Below are 16465 nucleotides of genomic sequence, written 5' to 3' on the forward strand. Positions count from 1 at the left end.
TGAGATTTGGGTGGGGACACAGCCAAGCCATATCACCTGGCATTTTAACTGCCCCTCCCACACAGCTTCTCACTAACCCAAGCATTGGGGGTGGGGGCAGCAGCACAGTCCCTAAGGGCCCCCCAGTGGTCCAGAGGAGAAAAGCCACATCTGAAACAGCTGGAAACCCGAAAGAAGCATGAGTATTATGTGAAGCTCCTATATATGATGGAAACCTAAAGCCCTATCTACTGGTCCTGCAGTGATGAAATGAAATCCCCCAGCCTGGTAAAAATCCTGCTAGAAAATAAAACCAGGAACAGTGCTGTTCAACATCTTGAGGAGAAACCCACCCGTAGAATAATTTCCCACCCCTAACCAGTCCCAACAACTGTTGAAACTCCAGGAAGTCTCTGGTTTTTGAGGAAGAAAACCCATCACACTTCCTGAAAGGGCTGTTCCCCACATAGCAGGCCTGCCTGTGACTCCCAGGCTGTAGTAGCAGTAGGGTGCTGTTATGACCCCATTGTTGGGAAGGAAAATGGAGGTGAGGTCACGAGGTCACACAGCCAGCGATGGCAAGGGGAGAGGGTGTGTCCCTATTGGGCCCGGGGTAAGTGTGTGGTGCCTGGTGGCCCCAGCAGCTTTCTCTGATGGGCTTTCTCCCCACCCCAACAGTTCCCCCTCAGATTGCCGGTCCCCGGGAGCCTCCCACACAAGTCTCTGTGGTCCAGGATGGAGTGGCCACTCTGGAGTGCAACGCCACAGGGAAACCCCCTCCGACAGTGACATGGGAGCGGGACGGCCAGCCCGTGGGGGCTGAACTGGGCCTGCAGCTGCAGAACCAGGGTCAGAGCCTGCATGTGGAGCGGGCCCAGGCTGCCCACACTGGACGCTACAGCTGTGTGGCCGAGAACCTGGCTGGGAGGGCAGAGAGGAAGTTTGAGCTCTCCGTACTGGGTGAGGACCGGCAGCTGCTGGAGGAGTTGGGCTGGGGCAGATTAGAGTGGGCAAGGTGGGTTCAATCTCCAGGCACGGCCCTCAGGCTGTGATCCTGGGGTCACACCTGTTCTTTCTGGAGTCAGGGCTCTAATGAGAGCTGCTGGTGGGGGGAGCCACCAACACTGCTCTCAAAATCAGGACTGGTCCCAAATGGCCCCAATTTCCCCCAATTCGCCTCTCCTCCCTCCCTCTCTCCCTCTTGGGTTTACTCTTCCTCTACTCTGTTCTGGGCACTGGGAAAGTAAGCAGTCCCTGTCCTGCATGACTGGTATGTGATGGGGAGAATTCAGGGGCTTGTGAGAGACCAGGAAAACCTTGAATACTGTTGGGGCAGGTCAGGGCAACCTCCCAGAGGAGGTGCCTTTTAAGCTGGACCATAAAGGGTGAGTAGGAGTTAGGCAGCTGCTAGGTGAGGGGAAGCACGTGCCAGGCAGAGGGTGGCTGGGGCAGCCTCATGCATTCCATCATTTACTGAGCTCCTACTGTATGCCTGAAGGATAATTCAGGGTGGAGACAGGGAGTGGTAAGAGATAGGGTGGGAGAGGTGGGCGGGGATCAGTTTAGGGAGGGCGCCCCTCACTGTTGCTGGGATCTCGAGCCTCACCCAGATATCCCCAACACCCCCACCCCCCTGGGTAGAGAGTGGCTTCCTTCAGGAACAGGTTCCTTCAGAACTGCAGCGTTGCCACTTAGCTTCCACACGTGGATTTGGGAAGCACATCTGGCTTCGCCTTTGCACTAATTCCGGTCCCACTGGCTCAGCGCTTGCTCTGCCCAGATACTGGACTGGGCACTTTCACGTGTTCCTGTTGAATCCCCCAGCATCCCGCTGAGGGCTTGGGGAGACTGAGGCCCAAGGAGCCTGCCCGACTCCAGAGCCCAGCCTGTGGCGCCATGGGCTCCCTCCTAGGTGTCCTCACTTTAGGGGGAGCAGCTCTGCTCTCGTCACTTCTGCTCCTCAGACTCTCCCAATTGGGTGGAGTTGGGGGGCAGTCAGTGGGGCTGGGGAAGGAGCATGAAGCACACAGCCCATATCTGCACCCTGAATGTGGCTTCTTCTTTGTGTCCAGTGCCCCCAGAGCTCATTGGAGACTTGGACCCGCTGACCAACATCACTGCTGCCTTGCACAGCCCCTTAACTCTGCTCTGTGAAGCCATGGGGATCCCACCTCCAGCCATCCGCTGGTTCCGAGGGGAGGAGCCTGTCAGCCCCGGGGAGGACACCTACCTGCTGGCAGGTAAGATACCAGCTAAGGTTGGATCCTGGGAATCAGGTCGGGCTCTCTGCCTCTGACTCTATCCATTACATGCCCATGACCTCTGACTCTGAGCTGCCAGGCCTGGTTGGAATAATCATTCCAGCTGCTGGTCCCCAAAGAATGCAGCCCAAAACACTAGTCAGGTGAGGTGCTCCAGGAAAATATCATGGATTTAGATAAATTTGGAAAAGGCTTCCTGCTCTGTTCATCTAGAGAACCACAATGAACATTTGCATAGCAAAGGTTCTGATAAGTCCTGCAGAAAAAAAAAAAACAAACTTTGGCACTTATATATAACATCCCACAGAACAGTAACAAGTTTTGGATGTGCTGATCTAAGCACCTTCTCCTCTGAATATTTATCCTCCTCATAAAATGGGTTTGTGAGGTTCTTGCTGGTATACAAATGAGGAACTGAGGCCCAGGAGTCTCTGTCCCATCCAAATCCTGCAAGGACTTCAAGGCCCCTGAGGCTATGCCTCAGTCACCCATTGGTTGTTCCACGCAGCCCATGATGAGATGGCAAATACATTTCCTCTTGGGCATCATTTCTGAGCACTTGGTAAGAATTGCCGGGTGCATTCTGTGGATAGGAATTCAGAGACTGCATTGGGCCCAGTGGAAAGGAATGTGGCAATCAGTTAGTAATGTCGGCTCTGGGTGCAGTAACAGCAGTGGTGTCCTGTGTCCTATGTATCTGCCCTCCACACACTGATCTTGGGAGACCCTTGGGTTCCTCTGAGAGGAGCTGTCTCTCCCTGAGAGATCCTTGGGAGGAGAAGCCCTTTTACCATGTCTGTCAGAGTAGAGCAGAGGTCTGCTGGGCCAGGACTACATAACCCATTACTCTCCCTTCAGCTCCAGCCAATCCCCAGAGCCAGGGGTGGCCAGGGTGACAGATACTTCTTGCTAGAGCAGGGTCCTCAGATTTATTCTGGTACGTGTCTAATCTCCAGGCAGTTCCATCCATTTGTTTACCCTCCTGGGCCTCAGTTTGTGGATCTGAGGAACAGGACACAATGGGAGACAGACATGTACACGCCTAATTATAATGCCTTTTCCTGCTGGGCAGCAGGGGGCTCGGCTTGGGACAGAATGCTGCTCAGAGCCATGCTTGGGGCCCACGCCCCTCCCTCCCCAGGTGGCTGGATGCTGAAGATGACTCAGACACAGGAGCAAGACAGTGGCCTCTACTCATGCCTGGCAAGCAACGAGGCTGGGGAGGCACGGAGGAACTTCAGTGTGGAGGTGCTGGGTGCGTTACAACCCCATTCTCATGGGTGCCCTATGAACTCTTCCCCACTGCCTGGGAGCTCCCAGAGGCAGGTCCCCAGACTCATGGCTCATGCTGTAGCAGGGGCCCAGCACAGAGAAGGAGGGAGAAGCTAAGCCCTGTACACTTTGCCTCATCAAAAACCTTTGTTCAAGCCTGGGCAGTGTGGTGAAACCCTGTCTCTATTAAATGTACAAAAATTAACAGGGCATGGTGGTACACGCCTGTAGTCTCAGCTACTCAGGAAGCAGAGGCTGCAGTGATCGTGCCACTGCACTCCAGCCCAGGTGACAAGAAACCTCTGTTCTCAGGCCACCATGGAACTTTCCAGAAACAGCAGGGACAATCGAAAGTGGAAGGGGGCAAATATTTTTGACACCACTAAGACTGCCTGCCTCTCATCAGAGTCTTCTTCTGAGACACTGGTACTTCCATCAGGCAGCAGGAAATGTTTCTTAAACTCACCACCCTATGGAAACAGGCATGGGATGGGGAAACTGAGGCACAAGAAACGGTGGGCTCTTGGCTTCTTGTTCTGTGATTGTGTAGCCTGGGCGGGCCAGCCCCCCCCCCCACCCCATCACTAGCCATTTGTCTCCCTGCTTCTCCCAGTTCCTCCCAGTATTGAGAACGAGGACTTGGAGGAGGTGATCAAGGTCCTTGATGGACAGACTGCCCATCTTATGTGCAACGTCACAGGTAAGGGCCACATGATGTGATGGGCTGGGAGAAGGGGCGGGAAGGCACCTTCAGAAAGGAGGGGATCCCTGGGGATCTGCCCACCTGCCCCAGCCCCACTCCTCCTGACTGGGGTCTCTCTACATCTTGGACTCGGCACCAGGTCCCAGCTCATCTTTGCATGTGTTCTTCCATCCCAAACACTCTTCCCTCTCCCCACCTCACTACAGACCTCAGCTTTCAGGACCCTCCACAGGGAGTCCTTGGCTGGCCCCTAAGGCTCAGTGGGCCATCTCCACTGGGCTCCCACAAGCCCCAGTGCTTCCCTGTCCTAGCACTGACCCACATTGGACCATAGTGGCCTTGTGGCATCTGAGCTTCTTGAAGACCCAGCTGCTGCCTTGTCACCATGGTTTCCCCAGTGCCTGGCAGAGTAGGCTCCCATTCGTGCTTATGGGTTGAAGGATGGATGGATGGATGGATGGATGGGTGGGTGGGTGGGTGGATGGATGGATGGATGGATGGATGGATGGATGAATGGATAGATGGATAGGTAGGTGGGTGGATGGATGGATGGATGGATGGATAGATGGATGGATAGGTAGATGGATGGATGGATGGATGGATAGGTAGGTGGATGGATAGATGGATAGGTAGGTGGATGGATAGATGGATAGGTAGGTGGATGGATAGATGGATAGGTAGGTGGATGGGTAGATGAATGGGTGGATGAATGAATGAGGGTTGGATGGATGGATGGATGTGTGGATGGGTGCATGGATGGATGGATGGATGGATGGATGGATGGATGGAGAAATTTGTGGCTGAATAAAAGGATAGGTGGGTAGGTAGATGGTTGGATGGTTGGGTGGTTGGGTGGGTGAATGGGTGGATGGTTGGGTGGATGGATGAATGGAGAAATGAATGGATGATTGGTTGAATGGAGGGATAGTTGGGTAGGTAGATGAATGGATGGTTGGATAGTTGGATGGTTGGGTGGATGGGTGGGCGGTGGGTGTGTGGACGAATAGAGAGATGAATGGATGATTGATTGACTGGAAGGATAGGTGAGTAGGTAGATGAATGGATGGTTGGATGGATGGATGGATTGGTGGGTGGTGTGTGGGTGGGTGGATGAATGAATGGATGGAAGGAATACCTTGTTTTTCTGTCTTGCCTGTCTATGCTAAGCCATCTCTAGCCATTCCTCAGTAAGGAGAAGGCAGCCAAATCACAGAGGAAGGGGCACAGGCTGCTGCTGCTTCTTCTTGTGCTTCATGGGCCTCTGGGCCGGAATGGAAAATTCACATCCCCTGATCCATCTGGGAGCAGCCTGTGACCCCTGGGCTGCCCTAGTCAAAGCCTGCCAAATTGTCTCATTCTCTGCTCTGCATACAGGCCACCCACAGCCCAAGCTCACATGGTTCAAAGATGGCCGGCCTCTGGCTAGGGGAGATGCTCACCACATCTCCCCAGACGGAGTCCTCCTGCAGGTCCTCCAGGCAAACCTGTCCAGTGCTGGCCACTACTCCTGCATTGCAGCCAACGCTGTTGGGGAGAAGACCAAACACTTCCAGCTCAGTGTCCTGTGTAAGTTTTGGGCATCTCCTGGCCACCGCGGGTGCTGGAGGGAGGGAGAAGCAAGGTGACTGGCTCCTTACAGACAACTTCCCACAAACCATTCTACTATTTTTCTTCTAATTCTCCGAGTTTGACAACAAAAATCATATAGCGACTCTATTGACGGAACATTTATTATGGGCCAGGCATTTCAACAGGCCTGACTGAATCTTCACAATGACACTAGGAGGTGGGAGATGTGCTTGTCCCCATGTCATTGATGAAGCCCTGAGGCTCAGAGAGGTGACAAGAGTTATTGCCAGGCCCCAGGGTGGTGGGTTCACAACTAGGCATCTCTCCATCTCCTGAGGACAATACATACCTACTATTCTGTAAGCCTGGAGAAACAGAGCATCTATCAAATGAGAGGGGCACAGACCAGCTTAGAAAAATCTGTTTCTAAAATGCTGGCAGTTAAAAGGAGAGTCCCCTGCGGGAGTTGAAAGAAGAAATCTTGGGACCAATGAAAGCAAAGCTACTCTACTCAGCGGGGAACAAAGCCCCCAACTCCCACTCCCCCCTCAAACAGAATTGAGAAGCCTCTGGTTAATTGGTAGAGAGGCTGGATGTTGAGAAGCTATGGGGAAATGGAGGCAAAAATTATTCAGCTTTCCCTTGTAGTATTGCTTAGCGTTTGGAGAGCCGGGCTCTGGGTCACCCAGGCCTGAGTTCAAGCCTGGCCACCCCGGGCATGGGCTTCTCTGAGCCTCAGTTTCCCATCTCTGTAATGTAACTGACAGAAGTACCGAGGCCAAGCACCGGGGTCTGAGGCTTTCCTGGTCCTTAGTCTAGGGTCAGGGATCTCTGCTCATAACTGCCTCCCTGGCCCCCCATCACAGTGGCTCCCACCATCCTGGGAGGGGCCGAGGACAGTGCAGATGAGGAGGTGACCGTGACTGTCAACAACCCCATCTCTCTGATCTGCGAGGCCCTGGCCTTCCCTTCCCCCAACATCACCTGGATGAAGGACGGGGCCCCGTTTGAGGCCTCCAGGAACATCCAGCTGCTCCCAGGTGACGCCCTCTGGGGGGAAAGGAGGGAGGGAACAGGTGACATGTCATCAGAATTGGAGGAGAGGACCTGTGAGCCTGTCCTCATGCCTGGCATGAGGCTGCAGATTTGGGGTGACCCTGGCCACTGGCCCCCACACAGGTACCCACGGGCTGCAGATCCTGAATGCCCAGAAGGAAGATGCTGGCCAGTACACCTGCGTGGTCACCAATGAGCTCGGGGAGGCCGTGAAAAACTACCATGTGGAAGTGCTCAGTGAGTCGGGGACCCTGGGGCACAGCCGGGTGGGCAGAAGACCGCCCGGGAACCTAGGGGCCCAGGCACCTGAGCCACCCTTGGTGCTCCAGGGAGTCTCCATGTGGCATATGTCCTCTGACAGTCACCGGGCAGCTAGGGCGGGCTCCAGAGGACACAATGAGGAGAGAACAGTGAGTTAGGGCATGTGCCACTTGGGCTCCCAGACCCACTGCAGTCCTAGCTTCCTCCTGCCACTTCTGCTTTGGAGTATAAACAGAGGCTCTGCAGATTGAGACTGGGGACCCCCAAGGAAGTCCTCTGAGGTGACCCCAGAAATTCCCTTGCCTCAGACCTGCCCCATCCTATAACTCTTGCAGACAAATGCTCTCTCCCTTAAGTGGACAGCCAGGAGCAGGCTGGCTTCCAGGATCCCTGTGTCTCTTGGGCCGGCCCCCATTTCTGAGGCTACCCCCAGGACCAGGGTAAGCTCAGGGTTTCAGCACCCATCCCCCAGCTCTGCTCTCAGACCCCTCGTGCTTTTCAGTCCCCCCTTCCATCTCCAAAGACGACCCCTTGGCGGAGGTCGGCGTGAAGGAGGTGAAGACCAAGGTCAACAGCACCTTGACCTTGGAGTGTGAGAGCTGGGCTGTGCCCCCGCCCACCATCCGCTGGTACAAGGATGGACAGGTGAGTTTGGGACCCCCTGCGCAGCTTCTGGCTCTCACCTCTGCTTCCGGCTGGTTCTGCTTGGAACCTTCCAGAAAAGGCTTCCCTTAAAGCACCTAGCCCTAGAGCTGGTCCGGGCCCCAGTCACCCTTTATTTATTTTATTTTTATTTTTTTTGAGATGGAGTGTTGCTCTGTCACCAAGGCTGGAGTGCAGTGGTGCAATCTTGGCTCACTGCAACCTCTGCCTCCTGGGTTCAAGCAATTCTCCCTGCCTCAGCCTCCTGAGTAGCTGGAATTACAGGTGCCCGCCACCATGCCCAGCTAATTTTTGTAATTTTTGGTAGAGATGGGGTTTCACCGTGTTGGCCAGGTTGGTCTCGCACTCCTGACCTCAGGTCATCTGCCCGCCTTGGCCTCCCAAAGTATTGGGATTACAGGCATGAGCCACCGCACCCAGCCTTTATTTTATTTTATTTTTTTATTTTTATTTTTGAGACAGAGTCTCGCTCTGTCACCCAGGCTGGAGTACAGTGGCACGATCTTGGCTCACTGCAGCCTCTGCCTCCTGGGTTCAAGTGATTCTCCTGCCTCAGCCTCCTGAGTAGCTGGGATTATAGGCGCCCGCCACCACGCCTGGCTAATTTTTTGTATTTTTAGTAGAGATGGGGCTTCTTTATGTTGGCCAGGCCGATCTCAAACTCCTGACCTTGTGATCCACCAACCTTGGCCTCCCAAAGTTCCGGGATTACAGGCCTGGCCACTGCGCCCAGCCATATTTTTAATAAAAAGTTGAACTCTTTGTAAACTTTAAACTCTACTATTTTCACCCATGTGTGGCCCTTCTCATCTTTAGGCTCTATGGATTTGGTTTTATAAACGTCTCAGGGTGTTCTTGTCACTTTATGCTGCATTTTTGGAGAATGTATTGAGAATTAAGCACATTTGTCTTGCTGCTCGTGGCCCCTCATTTCTGATCTCCCTTCCCCTGACCCCCTCATCCTCCTCACAGCCCGTGACCCCCAGCTCGCGGCTGCAGGTCCTGGGTGAAGGGCGACTGCTCCAGATCCAGCCCACACAGGTCTCAGACTCGGGGCGGTACCTGTGTGTGGCCACCAATGTGGCTGGCGAGGACGACCAGGACTTCAACGTGCTCATCCAGGGTGCGTGGCGCCAGTGGGCCAGGGGTGGGGCGTCAGCCAGTGTGAGGACATTGTGGGGCTGGCCCTCCGCAGGCCCCCACCATGTGTCCTGCAGCTCACGCGCCACCCGTGGCATCTCCCACTGGCTCATCTCAGCAGCCCAGAACGGCACCCTGCCCCAACCCCTCTGCCTTGAGGGACCAAAGTCAAGACATGAGGGCTGTGGCCCCAAACCACAGAATTGAGTGGTGGAGCCTGGAATGGTCTGGTTGAGCCAGAACGCCACACTCTTAGCCCCTCTGCCAGATGCCTCTCGCGTTGTTAGGGAAACCTGGGGATTTGCTTCAGAATCTCTGGTCGAGAGTAAGCTGAGTGGCGGCCTCAATGGTTGAAACTGCCTGTGGGTACCTGGGGCTCATTATATTCTTCTCTTGCTTGCGTCAGTGTTTGACGTTTTCCTTTTTAAAAAGTGAAGGAAGGAAAGGAGGGAGCCGGGAGTCAGAGAAGCTGGGAGGGAGAGGCTGGGAGGCTGGGATGAGGAGGCTGGGGAGGAGGCTGGGAAGGGGAGGCTGAGAGGCTGGGATGAGGAGGCTGGTAGGCTGGGATGGGGAGGCTGGGAGGGGGAGGCAGGGAGGCTGGGAGGGGGAGGCCGGGAGGGGGAGGGTGGAAGGTAGGAAGGGGAGGCTGGGAGGCAGGGAGCTGGGAGTGGGAGGCTGGGATGGGGAGGCTGGGAAAGAGGCTGGGAGGGGGAGGCAGGGAGGTGGGAAGGGGAGGCTGGGAGCGGGAGGCTGGGAGGCTAGAATGGGGAGGCGGGGAGGCGGGGAGGCAGGGAGGCAGGAGGCTGACAGGCAAGCTGGGCGATGGATAAGTGTTCAGAACCAGGTTTTGCTACACAATGCCCATGGAGTGTCCTGGCAGGAGGAACACCTGCTCTGGGCTGCTCATACCCTTTTTCATCTCCGGTGCTTCTGGCCACCAGTCCTCTAGCTCTGGCTCTGTCATGAACTGGTTATGTTACCTGGGGACAACCTGGGGATGACACGGCCCCCTCCAGGCCTTAATTTGATCCTTTGTAAAATGCAGGTGATCAGAGCAGGTGACCTTGAGGGCCCCCCTCCATTTCTAAAGCTGATGATTTTGTGCCTCTATGCTCTGATAGACAAACATCGGCTGAAGCTTAGTATCTGGCTTCCAACTGTGAAAAATATTTCCATGTTACAGGGAGTCTTTAGCGTCCATTAGACATGAGCTGCTTAGGGAATGAGCCTTATCCTAGTGCCCAGCACATACTAGTTGCTCAATAAACACCGGTTTAGGGAGTGAGGGAATTTAACAAATGCCCTGACCCAAGGGAATGGCTCAAGTAATGGATTTCCGCTTGGGAGAGGCTGGGACGAGAATCTCCGTGAGCAGAGGTGCATTCCCCACCCCTCTGCTGTGCTTCCTAAGGGCTTTGTCTCCCCCACCCAGTGCCCCCCATGTTCCAGAAGGTGGGTGATTTCAGTGCAGCCTTCGAGATCCTGTCCCGGGAGGAGGAGGCCCGGGGCGGAGTCACGGAATACAGGGAGATCGTGGAGAACAACCCAGCCTACCTGTACTGCGACACCAACGCGATCCCACCCCCGGACCTCACCTGGTACAGAGAGGATCAGCCCCTCTCGGCCGGGGATGAGGTGTCTGTGCTGCAAGGTGGGTCAGGGGTGCGTGAAGAAAGTGGGCGCTTTGAGCTCTCCTGTGTGCTGCCTGCTGTGTGACCTTAAGCAGAGCACACAACCACTCTGGACCTTAGCTGCAATTTGTAAACTGGGGCTACAAGTTCTTTGCCTGTGTGAAGGCAAAGACTGGATTGCCTTTTGCCTCTGGTTTATAGAGCAGAGCCTCCTATCATGGGGCATGCCCTTCTGGGCTTCAAGATCTGTAATGTCCTTAAATGATCGGCAGAAGCTGCCACTTTCTCTGCAGAGGCAGCTGGCTTCTTTGTTAATCGTCAACAAAGCTCATGACCCCAAACGCTGACGAAGCTCTAGCTGGGCATTGAAGGGCACACTGTGGTGGCTGAACTCATGTCTTTTGTGTCTGGGTTTTTTTTCTATTTTTTTCTATTTTTATTTTTTGGGACAGAGTTTCGCTCTTGTTGCCCAGGCTGGAGTGCAATGGTGCAACCTTGGCTCACTGCAACCTCCACCTCCTGGGTTCAAGTGATTCTCCTGCCTCAGCCTCCCAAGTAGCTGGGATTACAGGCATGCGCCACCACGCCTGGCTACTTTTTGTATTTTTAGTACAGATGGGGTTTTTCCATGTTGGCCAGCCTGGTCTCAAACTCCCGACCTCAGGTGATCCACCGTCTCGGATCGGCCTCCCAACATGCTGGGATTATAGGCGTGAGCCACCACGCTCAGCCAGGTTTTGTTTTTTCTTTCACCACCTTAAGAGGTATTTGTTTATTTAAGGTAATTTAATTTTTTTAAGTAAACCTTTTATTTTAGAATAATTTTTTGTAGGTGATTTTGACTTAAAAGGCTCCAGGGGTGGGGCTTAGAAATGCCCGGCCCACCTGGCTCATGAGGGAAGCGTGGGTGGTCTCTCTGTTTGAGATTCGAACTGTGTCCTGCCAGAGATGGGCCGGCAATGGGGCTGGTTTTGGGGAGAAGTGGTCAGTTGCACAGGTCTCCAATGAGCAGAATCAGACCAGGATTTCTACTTTGGTGCTTGCAAGAAAAGGAGGTGGCTGGGCGCCGTGGCTCACACCTGTAATCCCAGCACTTTGGGAGGCTGAGGTGGGAGGATCGCTTGAGCCCAGGTATTCAAGACCAGCCTGGGCAACATCGTGAGACCCCGTCTGTACAAAATATTTTAAAACTAGCTGGGCGTGGTGGCATGTACCTGTGGTCCCAGCTACTCAAGAGGCTGAAGAAGGAGAATCCCTTAAGCCCAGGAGGTCAAGGCTTCAGTGAGCCGTGATCACACCACTGCACTCCAGCCTGAGTGACAGATCAAGACTATCTCAAAAAAAGAAAAAAAAAAAAAAAAGAAGGAGGCCTCTTGCAGATCCAGGAGTGCAACTCTTACTGAACACTGTTAGTTCCTATTAGAAACCTCTGGACAGACCCCTTAACCTGGCCACTGACCACTGATCCTGACCCCAAGTCCTGGGTGCACAGTAGGCTCTGACCTGCTGATCCCGATCAGACTCTAACCATCAGCTAATCCCAACCAATAGCTGAACCCAGACCACAGCCACCAACTGCCCCCCAGTCCTGCCCACTTACCTCCAACCCTACCACTCACCTCTCACCCTGACAACTGACCTCTAACCTCTGTTCTCTAATCCTGAGAAAATAGGCGTCATGGTCACGGCTGACCTGAATTCTTACCCTGACCTTACACTGACCTCAAACATCAACTGACCCCTACAATGCCACTGCTGCCTCAATCCTGGCCACTGGGCTCTGCAGGCTCTTAACCTGGTCAAGCTACCCACAGCCCGGGCCGGCCAGCCCCAGCCTAGAATTCTGAGCACACAGTAACCCTAACCAGGCCCCCACTGGAGACCAACGCCAGCCCCCATAGATGCCAGGCTCTGGCCTTGGATGGCTCTTTTTTTTTTTCTGAGATAGAGTCTCACTCTGTTGCCCAGGCTACAGTGCAGTGGCAGTCTTGGCTCACTGCAACCTCTGCCTCCTGGGTTTAAGTGATTCTCCTACCTCAGCCTTCTGAGTAGCTAGGATTGCAGGTGTGCACCACCACACCCGGGGAATTTTTGTATTTTTAGTAGAGATGGGGTTTCGCCGTGTTGGCCAGGTTGGTCTTGAACTACTGACCTCAGGTGATCCACCTGCCTTGGCCTCCCAAAGTGCTGGGATTGTAGGATTGTAGGCGAGAGCCACTGTGCCTGGCCCCTGGCTGGCTTTTGATCACAGAGGGTCCCAGGCGATGCCTCCCCAGCCCCTACCCCTACTTCTACCCCCGCCAACCACCACAGCCCCAGGAGTTGCCTCCCTTGCCTCCTGAGTCTCTGCTTGGACTCTGCCCTTACCAAGGAGCTGGGCTCAGCACAACAGCAGAGCTGAGCCAGCAACCACTGCTGTCACCCCCAGCACTGCCATGAAGGCTCAGGTTTGCCATCTGTAAGATGGGAGTGACAACAGCGTGTGCCCCACAGAGGCACTGTGGGACAGGCCGAGAATGTGCAGCCCAGGGCCTGGCACGCAGCGAGTGGTGGCTGTACCCTGACTTGACTCCACTCCACCCGTGAGCTGGGCAGGACAGGCCGATTCTCCTCATTTCACAGATGAGGCAGGGACAGTCACATGTCCCAGGTCCACTCCAGAGGAGGGGGCAGCGTCTTTGCTCTTGGGGGTGACTCTCGTGCCTGAGCCCAGGCCTCTGTCCCGTGTCCCTGCAGGAGGCCGGGTCCTGCAGATCCCCCTGGTGCGGGCAGAGAACGCCGGGAGGTACTCGTGCAAGGCCTCCAACGAGGTGGGCGAGGACTGGCTGCACTACGAGCTGCTGGTGCTGAGTGAGTGGCGGGGCCTGCAGGTGGGGATTCCCGGGACTGCAAGCGCCGTAAGGGCCTCCCTCAGAAGGGGCCGAGGCAAAGTGCACACAGTCTTGCTGTACTCAGAGGTTGAAATTGGAGTTACATGCTCGGCCTCAAAGAATCATGCAGGACTGGGCGCAGGTTCCAAGTCAGAAGCTTCCTAGCTGTGTGACATTGAGCAAATCACAACCCTTTCTGTGCCCCCGATTCCTTAGCTGCATCAGGGATTGGGAGGGCTTGGAGAGAAGGGCATGAGGATCCCGACCAGCACCTGACACCAAGTGCCACTCTCGCCTCCACGGCCACCCCCGCCCCCAGGGACCTGTGCCAGCCCCTCAGCCCCCTCTCCCCCACCCCCAGCCCCACCTGTGATCCTGGGTGACACAGAGGAGCTGGTGGAAGAGGTGACAGTCAATGCCAGCAGCACCGTCAGCCTGCAGTGCCCGGCCCTGGGAAACCCCGTGCCCACCATCTCATGGCTCCAGAATGGGCTGCCTTTCTCCCCGAGCCCACGGCTGCAGGTCCTGGAGGACGGGCAAGTCTTGCAGGTCAGGGCAGCCCCCTGCACGGGCTAGGGGCAGTGGCTGCTGAGGCCCAGCACCACTTGTCTGGGAGCCAGGGAGGGGTCATTATCTGCAAATGAGGCTCTTTGCTGGGAACCATGCTGGAGCCCAGCCAAGAATCACCTGTGAGGAGGCATGCTGGGCCAGCACAGGCCTGTGCACGGCATCCAGAGCTTCAGGAGACACCTAGCAAAGGATGCACATGGGTGCGGGACCCAGAGCCCAGCACCGCACACAGCAGCCTTCCGCGGGATCACCAGCTGGCGCGTGCAGAGCCGTGCCCAGCACTCAGACATCAGGCAGCCCCCTGAGTCACCCCATGTGCAGACACAGAGCTGCGGGGACCCTGGGAGCCCAACACACACAGCACGGCCCTCCACAGGGGTGGGGGAGGCTCTTGTCACATCTGGTTTGCTACAGAGAACCACCCAACACCAACCTCACACGCCCGCTCCTGAGCGCCACACAAGGCCCTGGATGGAGGAGGTTCCAGGTCTCCATGAGCTGCCTGGTGCCTGCTTCCCTGGCATGGGATGGGAGGGATTCCTCGCAGTCATTCCTGGGGGTGGTGGTGTCCAAGGGGTCTCAGGTATCTCCCAGGCATGGCTCCCTGCACCCACAGGTTTCCACGGCAGAGGTGGCCGACGCCGCCAGCTACATGTGTGTGGCCGAGAACCAGGCGGGCTCCGCTGAGAAGCTCTTCACCCTCAGGGTTCAAGGTGAGCTGGGCTGAGCAGGCAGCCCCTGTGGGTTCCTTTTCCCTTCCCAGGGGGCACTGCCTTGGGGCTTCCAGTATCCTGGGCTCTGGGTCCTGCAATCAGAGTTCAGGGATCCCAGCTGGCCCCAGCCACATCCCGAGACAGAGAGCATTTGGGGGGCCCTGATCACTACTGGGCCAACCCCAGGTGGTTTTAAGCAACTTTGGAGATGGCCAGGCATTACCACCACCATTACTGAGCACTTACTGTGTACCTGACACGAGGCTGAGCACTTTCCCTGGGCTGACTCCTTCCAGCAGAGCTAGGTTAGCCCACCCAGCTTTGCAGCTGTGGGAGGAGACTCAGGGAGGTCGCCCTCAGAGAGGAGTGGGATTGGGGGGGTCTCACTGTCCCGGAGCCTGCACTCCTAACCTCTGCAACTCATGACGTACACCGCACTGCAGTGGCTGTGAGTTCTGTCTCCAGATGGTCTTGGAGATGGAGGAAGATAGTGTTGAGCCCTCAAGGTCATGGGCTCAAACCTGAATTGATATCTTAGCTCTGCCACTGACCAGCTGTGTGGCCTTGGAACAGTGACTCTCCCTCTCTGATCCCCTACCCAGTGTCCTTCTGTGTAAGAGAGTCATGGCAAATGGAGGTTTCTGAATTATTTGAAGTTGTGCCGAGGTGAAGCCCCAGGAGCTGGGTGAGGCTCAGGGTTTCTCTTGGGCTCTGTGCTCCCCTGCTGGTGTGATTCTCATGCCTTTCTCTACCGTGGTGGCTGTGGGGATAGTCCCGCCACGAATCGCAGGCCTGGACTTGGAGCAGGTCACTGCCATCCTCAACAGCAGCGTCTCCCTCCCTTGCGACGTCCACGCTCACCCAAACCCCGAGGTCACGTGGTACAAGGACAGCCAGGCCCTCTCCCTGGGTGAAGAGGTCTTCCTCCTGCCTGGTGGGTAAACTGAGGTGTCCGGCCCAGCTCTAAGGTTACATGGGGAGAGAGTTGCTCCCCCGACCTGGGACAGGGCCGTCAGTCGTGCAGGGATTTAGGACTGGGGGCTGGGCTGGAATGCTGGTGTGAGGGGCTGGCTTCCCCCGGCAGGCACCCACACGCTGCAGCTGGGGAGAGCACGGCTGTCGGACTCCGGGATGTACACATGCGAAGCCCTCAATGCTGCCGGCCGAGACCAGAAGCTGGTGCAGCTCAGTGTTCTGGGTATGTCCATGTCTGTCCCCAACTTGTACTGTCCCCACTCCTTCAGTCACCCCTCAGCCCATACTCCCCCAGAGAACATAGACAGGAGAGGGCCAGGAGGCACAGGGGGAGGCTGGGACGCCCGCACAGATCAGCTCTGAGGAGGGGGAGCAGTGGGACGGGCCCCAGGAGCCTGGCTGGGGAAGGGGCCTCCCCAAGCCTTGTGTGGTGGGGGAAGCCTGTTTCACAGTGGAGCCTGTTTCAAGGCTCGTGGTCTTCAGAATCCTCTTGGGGAAAAGCTGGCCCAAGGTGTCTTTAGCAAGGACTCGCTGGAAGGTTCTTTCTAGCCCCGGGGCTGGTCCATTCACTTGCACGAACACCAGCCAGACACTGCGCTAGGCCTGTGGGCTCACAGCCATGGGGAAGGAGGGCTTCTACATTGGTTCACTGGAGCCACAGGGGCTGAACGGGCCTCGACAGAGAGCTGTAACCCAGCTGGGGCCTGCCCCTGTAGGAAAAAGCCTGGGTGGGGGCGGGCGACAGCATCTCCCCCATCTAGGAGGCTGAGGCTCAGAGAGGCAGGAGGCTGTCCCTGGTCAC

The 16465-nt window shown here is 56.0% G+C and overlaps 1 protein-coding gene across 9 annotated transcripts in view, besides 1 other annotated feature; it reads left to right on the plus strand.

Annotated features, from left to right (window-relative positions):
- Positions 1-16465, plus strand: part of HMCN2 (hemicentin 2) — a 168364-nt gene that overhangs the window by 103153 nt on the left and 48746 nt on the right. For 7 of the 9 annotated variants that reach the window (NM_001291815.2, XM_011518466.3, XM_011518465.3 and 4 more), the window contains 15 exons: positions 658-939; positions 2052-2219; positions 3382-3495; positions 4126-4212; positions 5590-5781; positions 6651-6824; positions 6964-7077; positions 7604-7746; positions 8737-8887; positions 10337-10555; positions 13272-13385; positions 13767-13954; positions 14592-14688; positions 15461-15622; positions 15773-15886. In NM_001291815.2, coding sequence (NP_001278744.1) covers positions 658-939; positions 2052-2219; positions 3382-3495; positions 4126-4212; positions 5590-5781; positions 6651-6824; positions 6964-7077; positions 7604-7746; positions 8737-8887; positions 10337-10555; positions 13272-13385; positions 13767-13954; positions 14592-14688; positions 15461-15622; positions 15773-15886 — 2319 coding nt within the window. The other 2 variants (XM_011518470.3, XM_017014586.1) reach the window with 2 other exon arrangements.
- Positions 12706-13621: an enhancer, noted in NCBI's record as "H3K4me1 hESC enhancer chr9:133257005-133257920 (GRCh37/hg19 assembly coordinates)". NCBI's record gives its function as "activates a minimal SCP1, AML or CMV promoter by ChIP-STARR-seq in primed H9 embryonic stem cells {active_cell/tissue: H9 hESC(primed)}" and the evidence as "EXISTENCE:reporter gene assay evidence [ECO:0000049][PMID:30033119]".

Source organism: Homo sapiens, chromosome 9 (assembly GCF_000001405.40).
Source record: "Homo sapiens chromosome 9, GRCh38.p14 Primary Assembly".
Taxonomy (NCBI): Eukaryota; Metazoa; Chordata; class Mammalia; order Primates; family Hominidae; genus Homo; species Homo sapiens.